General features: G+C 38.3%; 1 protein-coding gene and 1 long non-coding RNA gene across 14 annotated transcripts in view, besides 5 other annotated features; one reads left to right on the plus strand and one right to left on the minus strand.

Moving 5' to 3' along the window:
- Positions 1-24681, plus strand: part of IFI16 (interferon gamma inducible protein 16) — a 55176-nt gene that overhangs the window by 4915 nt on the left and 25580 nt on the right. For 3 of the 13 annotated variants that reach the window (NM_001364867.2, NM_001376588.1, NM_001376591.1), the window contains exons 2-7: positions 5113-5271; positions 9771-10055; positions 10982-11097; positions 11643-11810; positions 13339-13761; positions 15451-15639. In NM_001364867.2, coding sequence (NP_001351796.1) covers positions 9791-10055; positions 10982-11097; positions 11643-11810; positions 13339-13761; positions 15451-15639 — 1161 coding nt within the window. In that variant the 5' untranslated portion in view covers positions 5113-5271; positions 9771-9790. Of the gene's footprint in view, positions 1-1071; positions 4336-5016; positions 5272-9770; positions 10056-10981; positions 11098-11642; positions 11811-13338; positions 13762-15450; positions 15640-24681 lie in introns of those variants that run through there. The other 10 variants (NM_001376587.1, NM_005531.3, NM_001376592.1 and 7 more) reach the window with 6 other exon arrangements.
- Positions 497-1022: an enhancer, noted in NCBI's record as "NANOG-H3K27ac-H3K4me1 hESC enhancer chr1:158975177-158975702 (GRCh37/hg19 assembly coordinates)". NCBI's record gives its function as "activates a minimal SCP1, AML or CMV promoter by ChIP-STARR-seq in naive H9 embryonic stem cells {active_cell/tissue: H9 hESC(naive)}" and the evidence as "EXISTENCE:reporter gene assay evidence [ECO:0000049][PMID:30033119]".
- Positions 1023-1546: an enhancer, noted in NCBI's record as "OCT4-NANOG-H3K27ac-H3K4me1 hESC enhancer chr1:158975703-158976226 (GRCh37/hg19 assembly coordinates)". NCBI's record gives its function as "activates a minimal SCP1, AML or CMV promoter by ChIP-STARR-seq in naive H9 embryonic stem cells {active_cell/tissue: H9 hESC(naive)}" and the evidence as "EXISTENCE:reporter gene assay evidence [ECO:0000049][PMID:30033119]".
- Positions 4874-4953: an enhancer, noted in NCBI's record as "active region_1901". NCBI's record gives its function as "activates an Ori minimal core promoter by ATAC-STARR-seq in GM12878 lymphoblastoid cells {active_cell/tissue: GM12878}" and the evidence as "EXISTENCE:reporter gene assay evidence [ECO:0000049][PMID:35858748]".
- Positions 7617-9160, minus strand: LOC124904432 (uncharacterized). Its single transcript, XR_007066671.1, has 2 exons — positions 8677-9160; positions 7617-8590 (listed from the first exon to the last, which is right to left on the minus strand). It is a non-coding gene; the product is annotated as an uncharacterized LOC124904432 (long non-coding RNA).
- Positions 7726-7835: a silencer, noted in NCBI's record as "silent region_1452". NCBI's record gives its function as "represses an Ori minimal core promoter by ATAC-STARR-seq in GM12878 lymphoblastoid cells {active_cell/tissue: GM12878}" and the evidence as "EXISTENCE:reporter gene assay evidence [ECO:0000049][PMID:35858748]".
- Positions 10127-11326: an enhancer, noted in NCBI's record as "CDK7 strongly-dependent group 2 enhancer chr1:158984807-158986006 (GRCh37/hg19 assembly coordinates)". NCBI's record gives its function as "activates an origin of replication core promoter dependent on BRD2, BRD4, P300/CBP, MED14 and CDK7 cofactors, with strong dependence on CDK7, by STARR-seq in HCT116 cells {active_cell/tissue: HCT116}" and the evidence as "EXISTENCE:reporter gene assay evidence [ECO:0000049][PMID:35650434]".

The following is a 24681-nucleotide window of genomic DNA, read 5'->3' on the forward strand; positions in this document are numbered from 1 at the left end:
TTTAGATAAAATAAGCAAATAAAGAATGAAGATAGCAGAGATAAAGCCGGAGAAGTAGAAACTATCAATGTTTTTACCCCCTTCAAAAATAATGTTGAAACTTAGTACCCAATGCAACAGTGTTGGGAGCTTGGGCCAAATGGGAGGTATTTAGATCATGAGAATTTCACTCACGTAAATAGACTGATTAATGCCACTCTAACGGGCATGTAGGGGGTGAATTCGCCCCGTTTGTCATGTGAGGACACAGCAAGAAGGCCTCACCAGATACTGATGCTTGACCTTGGACTTCCACCTCAAGTACTGTGAGAAATACATTTCTGTTCTGTATAAATTACCCAGTCTATAGTATTCCATTACAGCAGCACTAAATGGACTAAGACAGTGGGAAAGTATGCATGTCCATTACAGGGAGGGTCAGAGAACAGGAGTTTTCATGAACCAGAAACTTCTTTCACTCATATTTTCTCCATGAGACATGCAATAAACAGATGAATGATGCCAACTCTGGCCTTGTACAGTATATCATGACTGGTTCACATCACTCCCCAGGTTTCCATATGCATTCACTCTCCTCTCCTGCCTCAACACTGAGTCTCTTTTATTCCACTCCAAAGTAAAGAGGTCATCCCTAGAACTACAGAAGCTCTTTCTGCCAACAGAGTTGTCTGGAGTTTATGGCATTAGCTTTGAGCAACAGGAAAAGTAGAATACAAAACTGCAATACAGAAACTACAAAATTTCAAGGAAGGACTGGCTGAGAGAAGCCTTGAGGTTGGAGGGGAAGGAATGGCATTGTTGTGAAAACGTGTTCTGGGAACTGAGCTTAAATTGAATTGTAGGAGGCTGCAGTCCCACTGGAAAATGCATACTGGCACCAAGATGACTGCTGCTTCCAGGAACATCCTCCCACTCCTTAGCAATGTGGAACAGATTGAAGGAAGCTCAAACAATCCATTTAAGCAGGAAGTAAATAGATTAAGAGAGCAACCAGATGGCCTAAGGCACTATCGGTATAGCTATCCCCACCCCTCAGCGCCCCCATCAGCTTTTCCTTCCTTGTTTCTTCTCACTGTCTGAAAGACTACTCAGGCGTGCACTGCGAGGTGGAGATCTGACTTCTCTTGTTCCCGCTTAAGACTGCCTCCTGTGTAAGTTTCTGCTATCTAGATCTTTGACTACCAACCAGCCAGGAGTGGTCTGCCTCTTCTTTGGTCTGAGCTTGCCTTGTGCTTATATTGTTGTACCCAAGCGAGTTAAGAAAATACCCCACACTTTGAGACGAATTAAGAGTCCTTTAGTAAGCCAGTGGCCAAAGAGACGGCTAATGCTCAAAATTCTCTCGGCCCCGAGGAAGGGGCTTGATTAACTTTTATACCTAGGTTTAGGAAGGGGAGGGGGACTCAAATGCAATAATTCTACAGAAGCAAAAACATGCCTTAAAAGACAAATGGTTACAAGAAGAGCAACGGTACCAGGTGCAAGGTTGTAAATCTTTCATTGTAATTAGATATAGGGTCTATGCCGGACACGAACTCAAGGTTTTATGTTGTTATCTTTTTGAGAAAAAGCCTGGGAACTTCATACATTGTTGGTGTTACTACCTTATCAGTTAATTGGGCTCTTTTGAAACGCTGAGGATCTGTTTACCCAGGCCAACTCCTTACTAAAGGGGGTTGGGTAAGGAGCCCTTAGTGTCTTGTAAATTAAGGGGTCAATTGGAGTTTGTCCGACCTTCCCAGCTAGAGAGAGTCTTATTTACATGAGAAGCAAGGCTGGGTGATTAAAGAGACAAGCAGGACAAAATTCAAAGTAACGAGTTAGAGTAAAAACAAGGTTAGGCATTTCAATATAGGGTGGTTCTTAGTCCAGCAGGGCGTTTTCCCGATAACCACCTGTTTAACTACATTCACCCTTGGTGCAAGTGCCAAAAAACAAACAAACAAACAAAAAGACCAAGGCGATAGGTATTTGCACCATAAACTTCTCCCATCTTTTATGTCCGTAATTTTGTGTTATTTCGCATTTCTGACTGTTTATAGAATTGAATTGGCCTTTACCTTATCATATAATAATATACTTTAATTTTAATCACAAATACATATGTTAAGTAGAACACAATCTAGGAAATACAAGATAATACAGAGAAAAATGGAAGTATTGGGGAAAAGGAAACAGCACAAAACCAAGTGTGACGAAAAAGATAAACTTTGACTTCTAATTTCAACTGAGAATCAATGGACAAAACATCAAAGCCATTATCTGAAATGCATGGTTCCATTCATGTGAGAGTTGGAGAGACAAATGTTAGTATTCCAAAAAAGAAAATAATTCGGTTTAGGCTTTGGGAAAATCAGATTCTGTGTCTTAACAGCAAAGGTCCAGCCCCAGCAGGAAGCATGAGAACCCAAACAATGCCCTTGTGCTAATATTGTTAAGTGGAGAATCTGTAAAGAAATAATGAAGAAAATGACATTCACACAAGCTTAAAAGGACATGGATGTTTTGCTAAAGAAAAAAATATGTGTAGAAATTAGTAAATCAAGGAAGTAATTTTGCTTAGCATTCAAGTGCATGGGCTTTGGAATAAGGTAGATCTGGTTTGAATTTGGCTCCAACACTAACTAGGCGCCTAGTTTTTAGAAAATAGCTTCAATTACTGCTACACACTGGATTATGTTATCTAAATTCATATGATGAAGCCATAACCTCCCAGTGTGATGATATTTGAAAACGAGGCCTTTGGTGGGTAGTTTATGAGGGTGGGGTCCTCATAATGTGATTAGCACCCTTATAAGAAGAGGTATCAGAGAGTGCTCTCTCTCTCTCTCAACACTAGGTGAGGACCCTGCATAAATATGGCTATGTGCAAGCCAGGAAGAGGGCTCATACCAGAAACTAAGTTGGCCATCCTTGATCTTGGAACCCTCAGCATCCAGAAGACCCAAATCAACTAAGATAGTAGTCTTCTCTAAAAAGGGGAAACTTTGCTGCATAGAGTTGATTTGCAAAACAAGTGAACAATGCATATGCCACAGTCTATTGCATCATGAAAAACCAGTGTGCAATAGGTCTTTTTGTTCTTAGCAAGGTAAAGACATTTGCAATACTGACAGGAGAAATGTCACCTACAAATACTCTAAAGTGTGAAGTGACATAAATGTTTCTGCACAGCTAAAACTTTGGTATATGTGGAACAGTATGGAAAATGAGGCCAGAAAGGTAAAATAGTAAGCTGCTTTTTGTCATAAAGAGAGAAATGGAACACTCATTGTTCAAAAATAGGTACATAATTGAGAGATTTTATTCAGAATAATGCCTGATTAATATAAATTTAGTCACTGTAATAATGTAGCTACATAATTTATATATATGTATATATATTCGCACATTTTTTGCTTTATCAGGAATTTTTGTATATTCTACTAATGACTTTTCTGTATGATAGCACAAATTGCAATTGTTGGCCACTGCCACAAAGTGGGGGAAAATGCACATTTTTAAGCATTTCTTTGCTTCATCTATGAAAATTTCATCTTTGTGGTATGAATTATGGAGCATTGTCCTGAGTTGCCCTTATAGGTGACCGCAGTTTGTGTGTTGTATGCTGGAGTCCCAATTGAGGACATTACTGCATATAAAATGATTATAAGTAAAAGGCAGAAAATGTTCTGAAGGGTCATAACTTCCAAGGGTTCTCTACCCTTTGACCTCTGGATTGGGGTTCCCAGTGACTGCCTTAATATCCTTCTCTACCTACTGCCTTAAGGCCAACTCAATGTATCCACGTAAAGAGTACCCTAAAGCCAGTAAAAGATTATCACGAACACCCAGAGATGTTTATGGCCATCATTCCAGATCCTCTTTGCTTTTTCTTGACTTACTCCTTTTTTGATAAAGTTATTCATATGGTTTCAAATCCAGAATTCAGCTATTCACTTCATGGCCCTAGTTTGGATTAAAACAATCAGCTTTCTTTTGCTCTGTAGATGGCCTTGGACAGTACATATTAACAGTCTATGGGGCCCCTTTTCCACTCATGACCACATCCTGCTTGCAGATCTGCTGCTGGGTTAACACCACATCATCTGCTAGTTGATGCCATTTATTTGACATCCTGGGGTTACAGCACGCTAAAGGGCACCCACTGTCCTTAACAGAGAAAAATACACTGCTGAGCAGAGGATTAAACAGACTCCTCACACTACCGGAAGTTCAGTGCATTTTCCAGGATTTTCAAGTCTTCGATGCTGTCATGTTGAGAGTCCACTATCCACGTTTGTTTATCCAGGAATAATGCAGAAAATCTGAGCATTCGTGAATCTAATCATTGAGGTAAAGTAACCTAGTCATGGTCAAGAGGACAGCTAGTGTTAAACTCCTTCATATAAATTTAAGGAAGGATTTACATATTCATAATGACTTTCTGATCTGGAAAGCCCAGGCTTGTCAGTTATTAATAATTGGATGAATACTTCAGGTAGTATTTAAACAAATAGCGATTTCATAGCAGACATTTCCCCAACCAGGAGATGCAGTAAAGTATTGGTAGCAATAGATGCTCCTACCAAGATCTCCTCCTGCCACTGCCACTCTGTGCACAGGAAAGGAGGGGAGAAGAAGCCATGTTGCTTCTCTTATATTTGAGCATCATTTAAGGGAATATAAGTCTCTAATGACTCACATGTAAGTCTGCTGGGTAAGAAAGTTCTAATGTTGGAACTCCTTTCAGCTATCGAATTTTGTAAGAAAAAAAACTTATTTGTGTTTATATACATTTATGAGATACAAGTGTAATTTCGTTACATGGATATATGCCATATTGGTGAAGTCAGAGATTTCAGTGTGCACATCACCCGAAAAATGTTAACTGTACCCATTAAAGTAATTTCTCATCCCCCATTTCCCCTCACCACATGCTCCAGCCCTTGCCAGGAAACTGTTCATTTTCTCTGACTAACAGAAACGAAAGCTAAAAACACTGGTGGGAGGAGTCTCCACATTGTTTCCTACTCCATTTTCTCTGGGGCAATAGCAGAATAGGAGCAAGCCAGCACTAGTCAGCTAACTAAGTGACTCAACCAAGGCCTTTTTTCCTTGTTATCTTTGCAGATACTTCATTTTCTTAGCGTTTCTGGAGATTACAACATCCTGCGGTTCCGTTTCTGGGAACTTTACTGATTTATCTCCCCCCTCACACAAATAAGCATTGATTCCTGCATTTCTGAAGATCTCAAGATCTGGACTACTGTTGAAAAAATTTCCAGTGAGGTGAGTACTGTTCCTGATTTTGTAAATATGATCTTGTTCCTTCCTTGAAGTCCCCAGAATCACAAGGGGACAATCAGTATTGGTTATTCAGGGTCATGGGATGATGGGAGTAGGGCTGAGTATTCAGAAAAGTGAAAACTGAGTTGCTTGATATGAATCCTTCATTTACTTAGGAAGATAACAGGCATCTTCTATTCCACCACAACTGAGGACTGAACAAGAGAAAATGCATTTTGACCGTTGCAGATTTTAAAATTAATTATCCGAGTGTATACTGGCATAAGTTGGTACTTAGAAGAGGGCTTCTGTTATTTTGGCTGGAAGAAGTGTTGGAAACTCGGTAGCTGTGGTGGGTTCTCAAGATAGTGACATGAAAAAAGTATCATGAAAGAATATTAAGTAAAAAACATATCTGAGCATAGAGATGTATTATATGACATCATCCCAATTTTACAAAACATAAGAACAAATGTACACAGAGTAGAAAATTTTTTTCAGTTTCACAAACACAGTTACTCAAGCACATGGTGTCTTAATATTTTCATAAGTATATTGATCCTTTACTTTAGCTCCATTCTGCACCGGGTGCTAGCGGCAGAATTTCAATCATTTTGGAATTACTCTCTGCCCTCCTGAAAGTTAATGATTTTTTTTTTCCTTGTGGCAAGGTATAGGGGAGTGGAGGGGAAGGCAGTTAGGAAAAGGTTACTATTGTTTACTTTTCAAATTTTTAAAAGATGTTTTCTATAGCCTGGTACAATATTTCATGTGTGCTTAAATGGAATGTGAGATTCTTAAATGTTGTTTTCAGAATTTTATTAGATAAATGTTGTTAATTACGTTGTTCAAATTTATTATATCATTACAGATTTTTTCACCTTGTTCATTTAGTAATTGAAGCATAAACTGAAATCTCCTATTATAAAGTTTGCTTTTTTGGCCGGGCACAGAGGTTCATGCCTGTAATCCCAGTACTTTGGGGGAGACCAAGGCGAGCGGATCACTTGACGTCAGGAGTTCCAGACCAGCCTGGCCAGCATGGCGAAACCCTGTCTCTATTAAAAATACAATAATTAGCCGGGTATGGTCATGTGTGCCTGTAATCCCAGCTACTCAGGAGACTGAGGCAGGAGAATCGCTTGAACCAGGAGGCAGAGGTTGCAGTGAGCCGAGACTGTGCCACTACACTCCAGCCTGGGTGACAGAGCAAGGCTCTGTCTCAAAAAAAAAAAAAAATTTTTTTTCTTTGTAGTGCTCTCACAATCACATACATGTTATGTGTATATATAATATACATTCACACACAAATATATGTATATATAATCATGTATACAAACAGGTACACACATATATGTGTGTAGTGATGTCTGTACATGTGTGTATATGAAGAGAAATATATACTAATTATAGTACCATGAAGCACTATAAAATAATAAATAATATCATTAGATAAATTAGATAAATTCATAACTAAAACATAATTTTCTAGGAGTTGAAACTTTTATCATGTGGTATCTGAAGTTACTTTTGGGCTTAAGGTATATTTAAAATTACACAAACATAGATAAACTGGCTTTCTTTAGTTATTCCTTGCAAGATAATTTTTAACAATTTTTTTCACCTTTTGTTAACAATATATATGTAGATTTCTTAAATCAAATTTGATGAAAGTTGTCACTTAACAGGTCAGACCTTTTAGGTATATGCTGGTAATTAACAATCTGCTGTCTTTACTTCAATTTATGACACTTCTATATCATCTCACTATCTAAGACAATTGCTTTAGTGAATTGTCATGTTCTTTTTCTTCCCTCCCTTTACCATGCTGTTGTAATTTCTGTTTCTCTTATATTTGATCAGGGTTTTCTTTGTAAGACATTAGGAACACCTAAAAAAGTTTATTTTTCACTCTTCTTATCTTTTGGCTGGCAGAATTTTTAATTTTATTCATGTTTTCCTATTAAATATTATTTTCAATAGATGTTTTCTTGTGGTATGAGTCTTTGTCTTGCAAAAAGACTGAGGCCCTGAGTATCACAAAATAGTTTTTGAGACTCTTCTATTTAAATATCATTTTGCCTAAATTAAAACTCTAAAATGTAAAATTATATTTTCCCTTAAGACAAGATGAAAGCACCTCTTCTGTGCTGTGGAGCTAGATACATTTTGAAGTTAAGAATCTGGAGGCTTCAGAAAGGCTATTTAGTGTATATATTCTAAATAGTGTCTTACTAGAAACTCCATTGGGATATAAATAATTACTCCAAAATCAAAAGCACTAATATTGCAAAACAAAACATGTGAGTGTTCACATTTCAGTGAAATAAAGATTATACATAGCCTACTGTCATCCCAAATCTGGTTTTATTTTGCAAATAAATTGTGCTGTCACACTTGTTGGAAACAAGTGCTCAGTGCCACAAAGAAAAACCAGCACTTAAACAGGAAATTTCTCAGCAAAGCATATTTGCTTCTACAGAAGGGTGCTGCCTGCGTCAGTCACAATGCACATTCTAAGCTGACCGGATTGGCTACTGCTTTAAATTCTATAGGGGTAATTAGGCGGGAAGGAAGACACTGTCCTGTACCAATTAGGCGGGAAGGCATGTCTGGGGCGGCAAAGGAAGGAAGGGTTGTTTACAGAACAGGAAAGAACAGGAAAGTTTGAAGACGAACTTATTGTTTCTAGCACACTCACAAAATAAGTCAAAACTTTCCATTGAAAATTTTTTTTGGTTTTGCAATTGATATGGAACTTTGGACCAACATTATATAAAAATAACTCCATTGTCCTGCTTCAGGCAGTTTTGATATAGAGATTCACTTTCAATTTGATTCTTGAATCTTTGTAGGTGATCTATTCCTCATTACCGAAGGCTTACAGAGTATTTTTGTTCATTATATTCTTCAGTTTCACTATAATGTGTTTTTGTATAGATTTTCCCTTCATTCTCTGGACCTTTTCAGTCCAAGGATCCTCATGTTCTCGTAAGAAGGAAGCTTTTTTTTTTTTTTTTTTTTTTTTTTGACGGAGTCTCACTCTGTCACCCAGGCTGGAGTGTAGTGGCACGATCTCCGCTCACTGCAACCTCCGTCTCCTGGGTTCAAGCAATTCTCCTGCCTCAGCCTCCCGAGTAGCTGGGACTGCAAGCGCTTGCCACCACACCTGGCTAATTTTTGGTATTTTTAGTGGAAACGAGGTCTCACTGTGTTAGCCAGGATGCTTTTGATCTCCGGAACTTGTGATTCGACCACCTCGGCCTCCCAACATGCTGGAATTACAGGCGTGAGCCACTGCGCCTGGCCCAATTAATAGCCCCTGAAATTTAGATATCTTGGTTATACACAAAGACATCATTCCTAAAATTAAAAAATTCATTAATTTAAAAGTTTTGGAATCCATACCTTGCACTGTCATCATGGAAGTGTACAGGTGTTAAGAGGTCAAGAGCAGTGACACTCTGTCCATAGGGAGACTCTGAAATCTACCATGAGACAAAGCCTCAGTTGAGTCTTAAGGTTGTATGGGAAGTAGTCAAAGAAAGAAATGTGGGAATGGCTTTCCAGGCAGTAAGAAGGAACTAGCAAAGTCATGAGGCATGAAGACACAAGGTGTCCGGCATCTTTGTGAAGCATAGATACAAGGAGTACAAAGGTACTAGAAGTAAAAAAGATGCAGCTTATTCAACACTTTCTGAGACAGTATAGGAAGCAAGGAATTTTGGGGAAGAAAAAGGAGAAATATTGAAGGATTTCAGTGGAATATAAATGTGGCTTATCGAGAGAAAACTGATTGTGCGAAAAGAAATAATTAGACAAATCAAGTCTGAAAGAAGAAAAATAAAACAACCAATAAAATCATTTCAGTGAATAAATACTGTGATGCTGCACTAGAAAGCATGCAGATTTTCAGCAAAGTTATGGTTTTATGGGTACAGAGAACAGAAGCCATGGTCTAGCACCAAAGAAGGGAGGATGCTAATGAAAGCCAACTAGGGAAGAGTCAAGGAGAATAGGGTCAGTGCCACAGCATGAAACTGTAGCGCTGTAGCAGAAAGTTATTCATATAAGGTGGGAGGCTGCAGCCCATTTACACCTAGGCCGCTCCAGTCATACTGGGTGTGGGAAGATTTAAGAAACAACAGGCAGGATTTGGGGAATAGGCTTCAGCCCCAGTAAAGGATAAGAAGAGGAACCAAGGGCTTTGACACTGCAGAGCTCATACTCTTAACACTGAGGCAATTGCTTGTTCTCAGACCTCCCTCTAACAACTGGACCCAACTCAACTATTCTCATTCAATGGGAATAATTTCTTAGACATTCCTAACCCAGCAGTTCTTCACTCAATTTCTACAGTAACACATTTGGTCGTTGAGTCCTTCTTTATCACACATATTCATGAACAACTCTTTCATATGGGCCACTCACTCACATAGGCATACATCTTTTAAATTGTCTGTATACATGTGTAACACTGTATATACCATTTTCTCTTGTAGGCTCACTTATGTCTGTAAAGATGGGAAAAAAATACAAGAACATTGTTCTACTAAAAGGATTAGAGGTCATCAATGATTATCATTTTAGAATGGTTAAGTCCTTACTGAGCAACGATTTAAAACTTAATTTAAAAATGAGAGAAGAGTATGACAAAATTCAGATTGCTGACTTGATGGAAGAAAAGTTCCGAGGTGATGCTGGTTTGGGCAAACTAATAAAAATTTTCGAAGATATACCAACGCTTGAAGACCTGGCTGAAACTCTTAAAAAAGAAAAGTTAAAAGGTAATTGGGAAGAGGGAACACCCACTCCCTGCAACCATCCCCAAACCCTCCCCAACATTGATTAGAGCCCCACCTCGGACATACTTGAGATGTGTTTTCCCCAGTTTGTGACTCAACAGCTGAGACAATGTTGGTACTTCAGAGGCCAACAAGTTGACAACTTAGTGCATTCCATTACTGGTGTAGATTGAAGTATTTCAGAATGTATATTTGGGATCAGTGAAAGAACAAAAGTGAGAGGGAGTTGAAGGGGGACTGAGACTTCCAGTACATTAGAAAGATTATATAATAATAAAATCATAAAAACTGTTTAAATTCAAGATATGTACATTTAGCCAATGAATGTATCTGTTCTATTGAGACCATTTAACCCATCACTACCCTTTATAATTTAAAAAAATGCAATACTTACATGTGAGCCTGCCTCTCAGAAGTGTGATCTCCTCTCTTGTTATATCAAGTTAAAAAAAAGGATTTGAAAAAGTCTAAGTCCAAAATCAGTATATCCTTCCTCATGGAAACCTTTGGCTGGTTTCTATAATTTGAATATCTTTACCTGGGGAATGTGACCTAGCAGTCTCCATCATGAAAACATTAGTTTTTAAAACAAAATGATCGGAGAACCGCATTGGGAAAGGGTTAACTGAAGCACATGGAGTTCAGAGAACAGGAAGCATGTGCTCAGTGCACAGGGGAGGAGTGAGGAAAGTGCTGAGGAGCATGAGTCAGTGCTTGTTCCTGTCTTGTGACTGCTGGTCTCCTTAAGGCCAGGCTGGGCTAATGCAGTAGAGCTAGACTAAAGCACAGCTGAACCCTCAAGCAGGAACTGAGAGCAAATTGTATTGAAACTGCTTCAGCTGTCGGAGATCGTTTATATGTCTTCCTTTTTTCTGCATTGGTTGGGAATAAAATTGAATCTATTCCAGTAAAAGGACCAGCCCTATCAAGAAAGAGGAAGAAGGAAGTGGATGCTACTTCACCTGCACCCTCCACAAGCAGCACTGTCAAAACTGAAGGAGCAGAGGCAACTCCTGGAGCTCAGGTAAGCTTCAGGAAGAGGAGCAGGCTTCAAGTCCCACAGAGGAAGCTCTGCTACGGCTCTTCCACTCAATCTCTCCAGCAGGCAGTTATTTCTTCATGTTTCCCATCAAGTTTCAGATTTACCAAATTGTATGATAATTGATCATCTTATTGATGCTCAAAGCAATGCACCAAACACATGAGTAAACATAATGTAAATATATATAACATAAATGTGATACCTTCATTCTAGTAGAGTGGAGTGTCAACGTGAGAATCAGGTAAGTACTTTGTCCATGTGTATAAAAACCTAGTTTCTCTAATCCCAAGTCAGCACATCCCATAACAGAAATAATTAGAGAAATAATGTGTATAACATTCTCCTCTTTCTTCGTTTAATGAAACCATCTATGCCCATCTCTTAAACTGGCGAGAGATGGGCAGCAACCTCTCAAGTTTCCAAGAAACATCTTCTTAGGAATAATAAAACTACTATCCAATAATGAAAATGTGCTCTACTTCATTTGGCACTGAAAACGAATAACAGGAAAATCAAACCACTTTCAGAAAAGAAAAAAATCAACCAAAGAAAAGGCTGGACCCAAAGGGAGTAAGGTGTCCGAGGAACAGACTCAGCCTCCCTCTCCTGCAGGAGCCGGCATGTCCACAGCCATGGGCCGTTCCCCATCTCCCAAGACCTCATTGTCAGCTCCACCCAACAGTTCTTCAACTGAGGTACACTCTTCCTGGTCCCATTTTGCTTTGTTTTTTTCAACCCAAAGTAAAGGACTGATTTCACCGGTTACTTAAAAATTGCATCGATAATTTGCTAGTTAATCCAATGTACATATTGAGAAACCACTACATTTTGATCTTTTGCTTTCACAGGGATACTTGATGAACTTGACATTATCTCTGACTGCAGGAAGTTTTCTGTTCTGTGTTGTTTGGGGAAGGGAGAGAGAGCTATGCAGTACAGAACTGTCAGCTGTGGGCTCACTGTCTACTGCTCCCATGTCCTTCATACCTCTTCCCTTGGTTCACTATAGTATTCCATGTCAGACCTCTCCAGCACCTGCTAGTTTGTGAATGAGGTTATCCATACCCTCAGCTCTTTTTCTTGTAGATTAAACAACCTCCCCTGCATTAAAACTGTTCTATCGCAGTTTAAGGAGACTGGGATGTTAAAGAGTAAAGATGTTAAAGAAAACCCTTTCTGAGCCCCAGGTTTCTGTTAGCATGCTACCTGCTAGAGCCCTGACACTGAGAAAGGCTATGGTGGTGGGAATGACACTCTGTAGAGTTTCTGCAGCCTGAACCTACTGAGATGATGGCATTCTGAGGGGTTTATCCTACTTGTGTTCTCACCTGCTGTAAGCAAACTGAATCTTGGGTAGGAACACTATGAAATGTGCTCTTTAAATTGCCCTGTCTACACTGGTGATAACTGAACACTCTTTGTGTCTATAGTTTGTGGTGGGCACCATTTTTCATTTTTTTTTTATTTTTATTTTTTTTTAGTATTTATTGATCATTTTAAATGTCATTTAACTTTGTCTATTTTTAGGCTCTGGCACTTTAAGCTGGTAAGAGAAATAGTATAAGAAATTATTTCATTCTAAAATTTATTTATTTATTTATTGTTGTTGTTGTTGTTGTTGAGACAGAGTCTCGCTCTGTCACCCAGGCTGAAGTGCCGTGGCATAATCTCGGCTCACTGCAGCCTCCACCTCCCGGGTTCAAGTGATTCTCCTGCCTCAGCCTCCCAGGTAGCTGGGATTACAAGCGCCTGCCACTACACTCAGCTGATTTTTGTACTTTTAGTAGTGCCAGGGTTTCACCATGTTGGCCAGGCTGGTCTCAAACTCCTGATCTCAGGTGATCCACCCGCCTCGGCGTTTCAAAGTGCTGAGATTACAGGTGTGAGCCACCGCGCCTGGCCCTAAAATTTATTAAGTTACTTCATGACACTGGCTTTCAGTATCCACTGGTCTTATGTTGCTCTTATGCTTTATTTCTTAAGGTTGATTCTGTTTACAGAAAGGTCATCTTTTCACTATATGGTCTCCTCTGTTACTTCATCTTGCTATTGTACCAGTTTAAGATATCTTCTGCCCTGGCTCGCAATCCCTCTCTATCCTGACTCCAGCTCTAAACATCTGTGCAAGTTTTGGGGCCCTGTGTTATACTGAGGTCACTGAATAGCAGTTCTGTATTTCTCAATTAGACATTTTTCTTTGTTCTCCTGTGCTATCATACACAGAACCCGAAAACAGTGGCCAAATGTCAGGTAACTCCCAGAAGAAATGTTCTCCAAAAACGCCCAGTGATAGTGAAGGTACTGAGTACAACAAAGCCATTTGAATATGAGACCCCAGAAATGGAGAAAAAAATAATGTTTCATGCTACAGTGGCTACACAGACACAGTTCTTCCATGTGAAGGTTTTAAACACCAGCTTGAAGGAGAAATTCAATGGAAAGAAAATCATCATCATATCAGATTATTTGGAATATGATAGTCTCCTAGAGGTCAATGAAGAATCTACTGTATCTGAAGCTGGTCCTAACCAAACGTTTGAGGTTCCAAATAAAATCATCAACAGAGCAAAGGAAACTCTGAAGATTGATATTCTTCACAAACAAGCTTCAGGAAATATTGTATATGGGGTATTTATGCTACATAAGGTAAGTCCTCAAAATTGTTTCGTTTCATTTTTCCACCAACACCTGAAATTAAAAGTCTTGATGTGTGAGATGAAGCTTTGCCTATAAACTGGATATTAGAATCCAGGACTCTGAAGACTAATGACAGGTGGATAAAGACTTCTCTGAAGATAAGACTGGGATTAGGGGACCTGTTAATATTTCTTTCCCATGTTCTCCTTCCCAGAGCATTAAACTGTAGTCTTTACAATAATGTTCACTGAGAAACCTTAAGACTTTATCAGTTGTTATTATCTATGCTAAGTGATCAAGGACATTGTGAGGTCTACATCCATACACACATGATACTAAGTTTATCCCTTTGATTATTATCTCTACTGTCATAAAAATCACATTATTTTTATTTTGAATGAAGTATTGTCCTCTGAGGCTTGAGTTCTGGTTGTGACAGTCAGAATAAGAAATAAATTGACTACTCATGGCTGGAAAACAAATGCAGAAAGTAGGTAGGACAATGTTCTGACCAAATGAAACTAATTCATCATAAAGAAATGGAACAATTGGGAAATACGAATTTGGATGATACTTGGAAAATCAGGTAATCTAAATTTGTCATTTATATATAAATAACAAAAAAAAAAAATAGAGTACAGAGTGCTTTTCCTGATATGTTCCTGTCCAAATTCATAACCAGTTAGCATGAGACATTCCACCCCGCAAAAAAGCATCTATCCTCTGCTATTGATTCAAGCAATTTATCTGATCAATACTTCATTACCCATTATATTTGTTTCCTAGAACAACTCATTAACCTGCGTTACTTTCTGTACACAGTCTTTTTTTTTTTTTTGAGACGGAGTCTCTGTCGCCCAGGTTGGAGCGCAGTGGCGCGATCTCGGCTCACTGCAACCTTCGCCTCCTGGGTTCAGGCGATTCTCCTGCCTCAGCTTCCCAAGTAGCTGGGACTACAGGCGTGTGCCATCACGCCTGGCTAAATTTTTTGTATTTTTAGTAGAGACGGGGTTTCACTATGTTAGCCAGGATGGTCTTGGTCTCCTGACCTCGTGATCTGCCCACCTCGGCCTCCCAAAGTGCTGGGATTACAGGCATGAGCCATTGCGCATGGCCTATATACACACTCTTAAAGAGATGATTCTTACAAATCCAGTTCTAGGATGATGAGTAATGAGCAAAAAGCTGGAATGTTTGAGCTCAAGGACTTGGTTTCAGGAGGGGGTACAAATATTGGAAGAGACTCAGTAAATGCAGAAAGTAGAAAAAGTAATTAGAGAGTTACCAGAAGCTTGCTTTTTCTTACAGATTCCTCATAAGTCACTGAATAAATAGTTGTAGCAGATATCCATTCTTTTTGCATGGGGCCAGAGACCCAGAAAGGCTATCAGAGATTTCAGCTTCCTCTGTATCAAGGTGCTTTGGGAAGCAAAGCTGCCCTGTAGGTGAAAGCAGTAGAAATTTGGAAGAAAACTCATTGTTCTAGAACTGTCATAGAAATATCTCAGATATGAAAGACTTAAACAAAAAGGATATTGAGGGACGGCTTTCTGCAAAGATGTGGCCTAAGATATGTGCATATCTGTACTAGGAGTTGCTGTTGTGCATCTTGTTTAACTCTCTTAGAAGGGACTTCAGCCTATATGTGGTTGTTATTAATTACATTCTCAGGAACAGAATATTAATTTTCTGTTACAGAAAACAGTAAATCAGAAGACCACAATCTACGAAATTCAGGATGATAGAGGAAAAATGGATGTAGTGGGGACAGGACAATGTCACAATATCCCCTGTGAAGAAGGAGATAAGCTCCAACTTTTCTGCTTTCGACTTAGAAAAAAGAACCAGATGTCAAAACTGATTTCAGAAATGCATAGTTTTATCCAGGTAAGAATTAAATAGGCAAATATTAGTTTTCCAAAGTGGAAATGATTTGCTTTAAGTTTTGGCAAAAACAAGTTTGTAGGTTTTTTTTACAGAGTTCAGCGGGAGGCATGAGAAAACAGATATTCTCCTTGTATTCACATTTACTTTTTTTAATTTTTTTTTTCTGGATGGAATGATGTGATAGGATACAATTTTAAAAAGAAAGAAATCTGAACTTTATCAAAAAAATTGAACTCTGAATTTTATGTAAACTTTTAAGTGATTGTAGGGTTGGGATTTAAAATTACATGTTCTCCATTTGTGAATTAGAAAACGTCGTGTGTGTGTGTGTGTGTGTGTGTGATACTTTCTAGTTTGTAACATTACAATACACATATGTGTGTATTTAGTCCATAAAAATACCTAATTTGAAACTTAAAATTATTTGCAGTGATCAAAATTATGTCCCACTGACAAAGTTTTATACAGAGGAAGCTCTCCAATTTGTTAATTTGAATTCAAATATTCACGTGTTAAGTTTCCTTACAGTACATGATTTTACGCTGTTGCCATTTTGAATGTTGTAAATTATTTTTTATTTCAGTAGGTTTTTGGGAAACAGGTGGTGCTTCGTTATAGGAATAAGTTCTTTAGTGGTGATTTCTGACTTTTTGATGCACCCATCGTCCAAGCAGCGTACACTGTACCCAGTGTGTATGTAGCATTTTATCCCTCACCCCCCTCCCACTCTTTCCCCTGAGTCCCCAAAGTCCATTGTATCATTCTTATGCCTTTGTGTCCTCATAGCTTACCTCCCACTTATGAGTGAGAACATACAATGTTTGGTTTTCCTCTCCTGAGTTACTTCACTTAGAATAATGGTCTCCAATTCCATCCGGGTTGCTGTGAATGCCGTTATTTTGTTCCTTTTTATGGATGAGTAATAGTATTCCACGGTGTATACATACCCCATTTCTTTATCCATTTGTTTACTGATGGGCATCTGGGCTGGTTCCATATTTTTGCAGTTGTGAATTGTGCTGCTGTAAACATGCATGTGCAATGATCTTTTTTTGTATACTGACTTCTTTTCCTCTGGGTAGATACCCAGTAGTGGGATTGCTGGATCAAATGGTAGATCTGCTTTTTAGTTCTTTAAGGAATCTATACACTGTTTACTATAGTAGTTCTACTAGTTTACATTCCCACCAGCGGTGTAGAAGTGTTCCTTTTCACCACATCGATGCCAGCGTCTGTTTTTTAAAATTTTTTGATTATGGCCATTCTTGCACGAGTAATGTGGCATCATTTTGTGGTTTTGATTTGCATTTCCCTGATCATTAGTGATGTTGAGCGTTTTTCCTTATGCTTGTTGGCCATTTACATATCTTCTTTTGAGAATTGTCTATTCATGTCCTTAGCCCTTAGCCCTTTTTTTTTTTTTTTTTTTTTTTTTTTTTTTTTTTTTTTTTTGAGACAGAGTCTTGCTCTTTTGCCCAGGCGGGAGTGCAGTGGCGCTATCTCGGCTTACTGCAAGCTCCGCCTCCCGGGTTCACGCCATTCTCCTGCCTCAGCCTCCAGAGTAGCTGGGACTACAGGCGCCCGCCACCGCCCCCGGCTAAATTTTTTGTATTTTTAGTAGAGACGGGGTTTCACCGTGTTAGCCAGGTTGGTCTCGATTTCCTGACCTCGTGATCCGCCCGCCTCGGCCTCCCAAAGTGCTGGGATTACAGGCGTGAGCCACCGTGCCCGGCCCTTAGCCCACTTTTTGATGGGATTATTTGTATGTGCAATGCTTGTTCCCTGGTGCCATAAATAAATAGCATTTGAATATCAATTTAATTTTTTCAGCAAGGCCATTTTTATACTTTTTGTAGAAAGGGTACACTCGCCAGCAGTTTTGCCACAAGAGTATACGGAACAAAGGAGACAGGCTCATTTATAATCTGACGCGGCCACCCTCCTGCTGCGTTCGGTTTCCATTGGCTGGGACGGGACCTCACCTTCTGTATTTGTCCCGACTGGCTAGCACTTAGAACTTTTTAAAAGAGGCAAAGGCATAGGAGAACAAAGGAAGGAGGAAGTAACTTGTGGAATATTGAGAAAGGTAAAAACACCTTTAAATAAGGAAGAGGAACAGGCTATGACCTAATGCTTGCTTGGATCAGTATAAGCATGTTAGGGCAAATATTTAGGCTAAATTGTGGGAGCTAAGAACATAAAGTATATTGATTTTTTATTATGGCTAGCAGATATTTAAGAATGTTTGTACAGGTCTTTGAATAAATTTTGCTTTTAAGAGAAGTTACTATTTATTTCTAATTAGATGGGGAGGAAAGTTTTTGAAGAGGAACCTCTACTTTTTACAATTTCCCCTCATTTCATAATTCTTCTTTAAACTTGTTTAATATGTTTTGACTTAATTTTTTTTTGTCCTTTTAAGAGAAGTAATTTTTCAGAATAGGGTGGAGGAGAATTAGGAGTTAACTCTGCAAGAGTGGCAGAGATAAGTTTTTGTATAAAATTTCAAAGGCAGGGAATAATATAACAGCCTACAAGAATAAGTACACCAATAACAAGAGCAAACGAGGTGAGAATTGAAGTTAAATTTTTTTTTTATCCGCTGAACCAATGTTTTATTATTTTAGAAAAAGAGTTATTTATTTTAGAATTGTTGGCAAGTTTATCGGATAGGGCTGTTAATCCTTGTAGCACTTTTGTTATAGTTCTATCAGGGGCAGTATTAGGAATAAAGGTATAACATTGAGTTTTAATTATGACACAAACTTCTTTTTTTGCTAATATTATATTTAAAGCTATTTTATTTTTCTAGACCATCTGGCTGGTAGGTCCTAATTGCTTAGCTTTCTCTTTGATGGCGTCCTCAGTGTAATTTATGAATCGTTGCTGATTATAGTAGATATAGTTTATTTAGTCTACTTAAAAAAAATTTATAGTTACTTAACAGAGCAACATGGATTTAAACTCTGCAGCTATTTGATTTTGTGCTTTAAACTTATTTGGCACTTCTCATAGGACCTTAATAGCATTTATGTAAACCTAACGTTTAAAGGACTCATGAGGAGTTTCCTTTGGCCTGCAGTGTCTTGTTTTTACCTTTTTTTTTTTAGGTTGGTGAAATGCCAGGGTGCAGGGGATAGCCAGTTGGATTAGAGCATAAGTACTGCTCCAATTATTTGGCAGAGTGTCTAGTAAAAGTCCTCTACAATATCACCATACATTTGCTTGGGGATGGCTAAGCGTGGACTGATGGGCAAGCTCTTGGAAAGGCTTGAGCTCCTTGCATCCTTTTATGCTTCTAAGGAACACCAAATTTTACTCTTGCCGTGAGAGGCACAAAGTAAACTTGGCATTCAGAGGTGGAAGCAGGCTTGCCCTCGGGGGCGGACCCCCGGGGTATTGAGTTTCAGGAAATAACAGATAGAGAGCTCAGCATGATGGATTATCCTAAACTGTGGGATTTTGCAAGAGAGCCACCATATGTCCATTTCTGGTCAATGAGGAGACCGTCCGAGTGGAAAGGGGATAATCTGGCCCTCTGGGCTACCATGCGTACAAGCGTGATAATAATTTTTATTTAAAGTGCGAAGGGAATATTTAATTCATTCCAGCCAGGCATTTGCATCTTGATATTTTGTCTTAATGGCTAAGGTCTGTCTTAGATGTCTTATTTTTACAATAGACAACCTAGTTTTATTATTAGATGTAGGGGCAACTGGTGTGGGATCTAGAACCGAGGCTACTGAAGAAGGGGAAGATGGGGGAATAATGCGTGTTTTAAAAACACCTAGGGGGTCTTTTTCATTTATGTCAATCCCCATGCCATCTAAGCGACCAAGGGCAGGTCTAGAGTTAGTTAAGGTGGAGGTGGTGATAAAGAGAAGGACAGAGTTACATTGATAAGGGCTGACAGTTAGAAGGGGTAGCCCTTTTGGTGAAATAGATGAAGGGTTTTAGATCTGCACAAACCTTTTTTGTGGAAGTCTAACTTTGCTCTTGAGTAGTTTAAAGGATGTAGTCCCATTTACTACAAGGTTGCCAGGCTGTAGGAGCAGAAAATCGATGCCTTGGCTGCAGGTGCTCACAATGATGAGTGCTACGGGTAATTGTGTCAATTAGAGGGCCGGGACATAAATATTTGTGTGAAAAGGCTAGCTGTCGTTAATCTTTTTTTATTTCCACAAAGTATGAGAAAACAAGCATTAAAGACAATGGTCTAAGGTGAGTTAGACTTAGTTATATTTATAACAAAGGAGCTAATAACAAAAGAAAAAAATATATAAAAGATGTATTAAAATGAAGCTTTCTTTAACTTAGAAGGGCTTAATCTTAGTACAGTAACCCATAATTCTAACGAAGAAGATGTTTTCTTGACTCAAATATGATGGGTCCATTCTTTCTCAGCTGTGCGGACGGCGGTCTCAGTGGTTAATACATAAAATAGGGTCCTTCCCAGGCTCGAGTTTTTTTTTTTAATCTTTTTTCATCTTTTAATAAGAACATGGTTTTCAGGCTGGTGCTGGTGTACTGGAAATTCTAGGGGTGGTACCTGTGCTAAAAGACTTTTAGTTCTGAGGGAAAAGAAAGTGGAAAATAAGCATATAATTTTTGTTGCATATCCTGGGGCTTGAAGCCCCATGGTGACGCCTCCCGCTCCATTCCTGCTCAGCGCCGCCCAAGGGATGCTGTGGCCCTGGCCCCTCTTGAAGTCTTGGCCTTCTTGTGGCCTTCACCACCCCCGCGTGCTATGGCCTTGGGGATGAGGGGCATTGTGACTTACCTGGCCACCCTCGGGACTTAAAAAAAAATAAACACCATTTTATATTTGACTATTTTTTGTATAATTTTATACTAAATAAGTTAAATTTTACCTTTATATTAATGTGCTATTAATGTTAAATTTAATTTTAGTAAAATATTGTAGACATTATTTATCCAATTTTAATGTCTGACCATAAAGTAAAACTTTTATAGACTCATTTTAATTTTTTATATTTGTTTTTTTCTTGATGATTTGCTTGAGTTCCTCATAGATTCTGGATATTAGTCCTTTGTCAGATGCATAGTTTGTGAATATTTTCTCCCACTCTGTGGGTTGTCTGTTTACTGATTATTTCCCTTGCTACGCAGAAGCTTTTTAGCTTAATTAAGTTCCATCTATTCATCTTTGTTTTTGTTGCATTTGCTTTTGGGTTCTTAGTCCTGAAGTCTCTGCCTAAGCCACTCTCTAGAAGGTTTTTCCGATATTATCTTCTAGAATCTTTATGGTTTCTGGTCTTAGATTTAAGTTCTTGATCCATCTTGAGTTGATTTTTGTATAAGGTGAGAGATGAGGATCCAGTTTCATTCTTCTACTTGTAGCTTGCCAATTATCCCAGCACCATTTGTTGAATAGGATGTCCTTTCCCCACTTTGTGTTTTTGTTTGCTTTGTCAAAGATCAGTTGGCTGTAAGTATTTGGGTTTATTTTTGGGTTCTCTATTCTGTTCCATTGGTCTATATGCCTATTTTTATACCCAGAACCATGCTATTTTGGTGACTATGGCCTTATAGTATACTTTGAAGTCAGGTAATATGATGCTTCCTGATTTCTTCCTTTTGTTCTTTTTCCTTAGTTTTGCTTTGGCTATGTGGTCTGTTTTTTGGTTCCATATGAATTTTAGGATTTTTTTTTCTAGTTCTGTGAAGAATGATGTTGGTATTTGGATGGGAATTGCATTGAATTTGTAGATTGCTTTTGGCAGTATGGTCATTTTCTTTATTTCTTTCTTTTTTTTTTTTTTTTGAGACGAAGTCTCGCTCTTGTCCCCCAGGCCTGGAGTGCAATGGCGCGATCTTGGCTCACTGCAACCTCTGTCTCCCGGGTTCAAGCGATTCTCCTGCCTCAGCCTCTCGAGTAGCTGGGATTACAGGTGCTTGCCACCACGCCTGGCTAATTTTTGTATCTTTAGTAGAGATGGGGTTTCACCGTGCTGGCCAGGCTGGTCTCAAACTCCTGACCTCAGGTGATCCACCTGGCTTGGCCTCCCAAAGTGCTAAGATTACAGGTGTGAGCCACTGCGCCCGGCCAATATGGTCATTTTCACGATATTGATTCTACCCATCCCCGAGCATAGGATGTGTTTCCATTTGTTTGCGTCGTCTATGATTTCTTTCAGCAGTGTTTTTAGTTTTCCTTTAGAGGTCTTTCACCTCCTTGGTTAGATATATTCCTAAGTGTTTTATTTTATTTATTTTATTATTTGCAGCTATTGTGAAAATGGTTGAGTTCTTGATTTCATTCTTAGCTTGGTTGCTGGCCGTGTATAGCAGAGCTACTGATTTTCATGCTTTAATTTTGTATCCTGAAACTTTGCTTGAAACTTTGCTGAATTCATTTACCAATTCTAGGAGCTTTTTGAATGAGTCTTTAGGGTTTTCTAGGTATACAATCATATCATCAGCAAACAGCAACAGTTTGACTTCCTCTTTGCCGATTTGGATTTCCTTTATTTCTTTTGTCTGATTACCTGGCTAGGACTTCCATTACTATGTTGAATAGAAGTGGTGAGAGTAGGCATCCTTGTCTTGTTCCAGTGCTTAGGGGGAATGCTTTCAATTTTTCCCTGACCAGTATAATGTTGTCTGTGGGTTTGTCATAGACGGCTTTTATTACCTTAAGGTATATCACTTCTATGCCAATATTGCTGAGGGTTTTAATCATAAAGTGATGCTGGATTTTGTCAAATGCTTTTTTTTTGCGTCTACTTAGATGATCCGGTGATTTTTGTTTTTAATTATATTTGTGTGGTATATCACATTTATTGACTTGTGTATGTTAAACCATCCCTGCGTCCCTGGTATGAAACCGACTTGATCATGGTGCATTATCTTGACATGCTGTTGGATTCTGTTAGCTAGTATTTTGTTGAAGATTTTTGCATCTATGTTCATCAGGGATATTGGTCTGTAGTTTTTTTGTTGTTGTTGTTATGTCCTTTCCTGCTTTTGGTATTAGGGTGATACTGGCTTCATAGAATGATTTAGGGAGGATTCTCTCTTTCTCTATCTTGTGAAATAATGTCAATAAGACTGGTACCAATTATTCTTTGAATGTCTGATAGAATTTAGCTGTGATTCCATCTGGTCCTGGGCTTTTCTTTATTGGAAATTATTTTTTATTACCATTTCAATATCACTGCTTATTATCACTCTGTTCAGAGTTTCTATATCTTCCTGGTTTAACCCAGGAGGGTTGTATATTTTCAGGTTTTCTACTTTATGCACATAAAGATGTTCATAGTTGCATTGAATGATCTTTTGTATTTGTGTGATATCAGTTGTAATATTTATCATTTTGTTTTTAATTGAACTTATTTTGATCTTCTCTCTTCTTTTCTTTGATAATTTCACTAACGGTCTATGAGTTTTGTTTATTTTTTCAAAGAACCAGCTTTATGTTTCATTTATCTTTTGTGTTGTTCTTTGTCTGTCACAATTTCATTTAGTTCTGCTTTGATCTTTGTTATTTCTTTTCTTCTGCTGCATTCGTGTTTGGTTTGTTCTTGTTTCTCTGGTTCCTTGAGATGTGACCCTAGATTATCTATTTGTACTCTTTCAGACTTTTTGATGTAGGCATTTAATGCTATGAACTTTCTTCTTAGCATCACCTTTGTTGTATCTCAGAGGTTTTATAGGTTGTTTCTCTATTATCATTCATTTCAAAGAATTTTTTAGTTTCCATTTTGATTTCATTATTGACTCTATGATCATACGGGAGCAGGTTATTTAATTTCCATGTATTTGCATGGTTTTAAGGTTGCTTACAGTTGAGTTCCAATTTTATTCCACTGTAGTCTGAGAGAGTACTTGATATAATTTCAATTTTTTTTTTAAATTTTTGAGACTTGTTTTGTGGCCTATTATATGGCCTATCTTGGAGAATGTTCCATGTGCTGATGAAAAGAATGTATATTCTGCAGTTGTTGGGTAGAATGTTCTGTAAATATCTGTTAAGTCCATTTGTTGTAGGGTATAGTTTAAGTCCAAAAATTTTTGTTTGTTGACTTTCTGTCTTGTTGGACTGTCTAGTGCTTTCAGTGGAGTATTGAAGTCAACCAGTATTATTGTGTTGCCATCTGTCTTATTTCTTAGGTTCAGTAGTAATTGTTTTATAAATTTGGGAGCTCCAGTGTTAGGATTGTGACATTTTCCTATTGGACTAGTTCTTTTAGCATTATGTAATGTCCCTTTTTGTCTTTTTTAACTGCTGTTGCTTTAAAGTTTGTTTTTTGGTGTCCATTTGCATAGTATATCTTTTTCTACCCCTTTACCTTATGTTTATATGAAACCTTATGTTTATGTGAGGCCTTATGTGTTAGGTGAGTCTCTTAAAGACAGTAAACACTTGGTTGGTGAATTCTTATTCATTTTGCTGTTCTGTATGCTTTAAGTGGAGCATTTTGGCCATTTATATTCAATGTTAGTATTGAGATGTGAGGTCCTATTTTATTCATCATGCCATTTGCTGCCTAAATACCTTACTTTTTTATTACTGTGTTATTGTTTTATAAGTCCTATGAGATTTATGCTTTAAATGTTTTATGTTCTATTTTGGTGTATTTCGAGGATTCATTTCAAGATTTAGAGCTCTTTTTAGCAGTTCTTGTAATGCTGGCTTGGTAGTGGCTAACTCTCTCAGCATTTGTTTGTCTGAAAGAGACTTGATCTTTCATTTATGAAGCTTAGTTCACTGGATACACATTCTCGGCTGATAATTGTTTTGTTTAAGGAGGCTAAAGATAGTACTCCAAACCTTTCTAGCTTGTAGGATTTCTGTTGAGAAATCTGCTTTTAATCTGATAGGTTCCTTTATAAATTACCTGATACTTTGCTTCACAGCTCTTAAAATTCTTTTCTCCGTCTTGACTTTAGAGAGCCTGGTGACTATGTGCCTAGGCGATGATCTTTCTCCAGGGTGTTCCCCGGGTGTTCTTTGAGCTTCTCGTATTTGGATGTCTAGATCTCTAGGAAAGCCAGGGAAGTTTTCCTCAATTAATCCCT

This window comes from Homo sapiens, chromosome 1, assembly GCF_000001405.40.
Source record: "Homo sapiens chromosome 1, GRCh38.p14 Primary Assembly".
Taxonomy (NCBI): domain Eukaryota; kingdom Metazoa; phylum Chordata; class Mammalia; order Primates; family Hominidae; genus Homo; species Homo sapiens.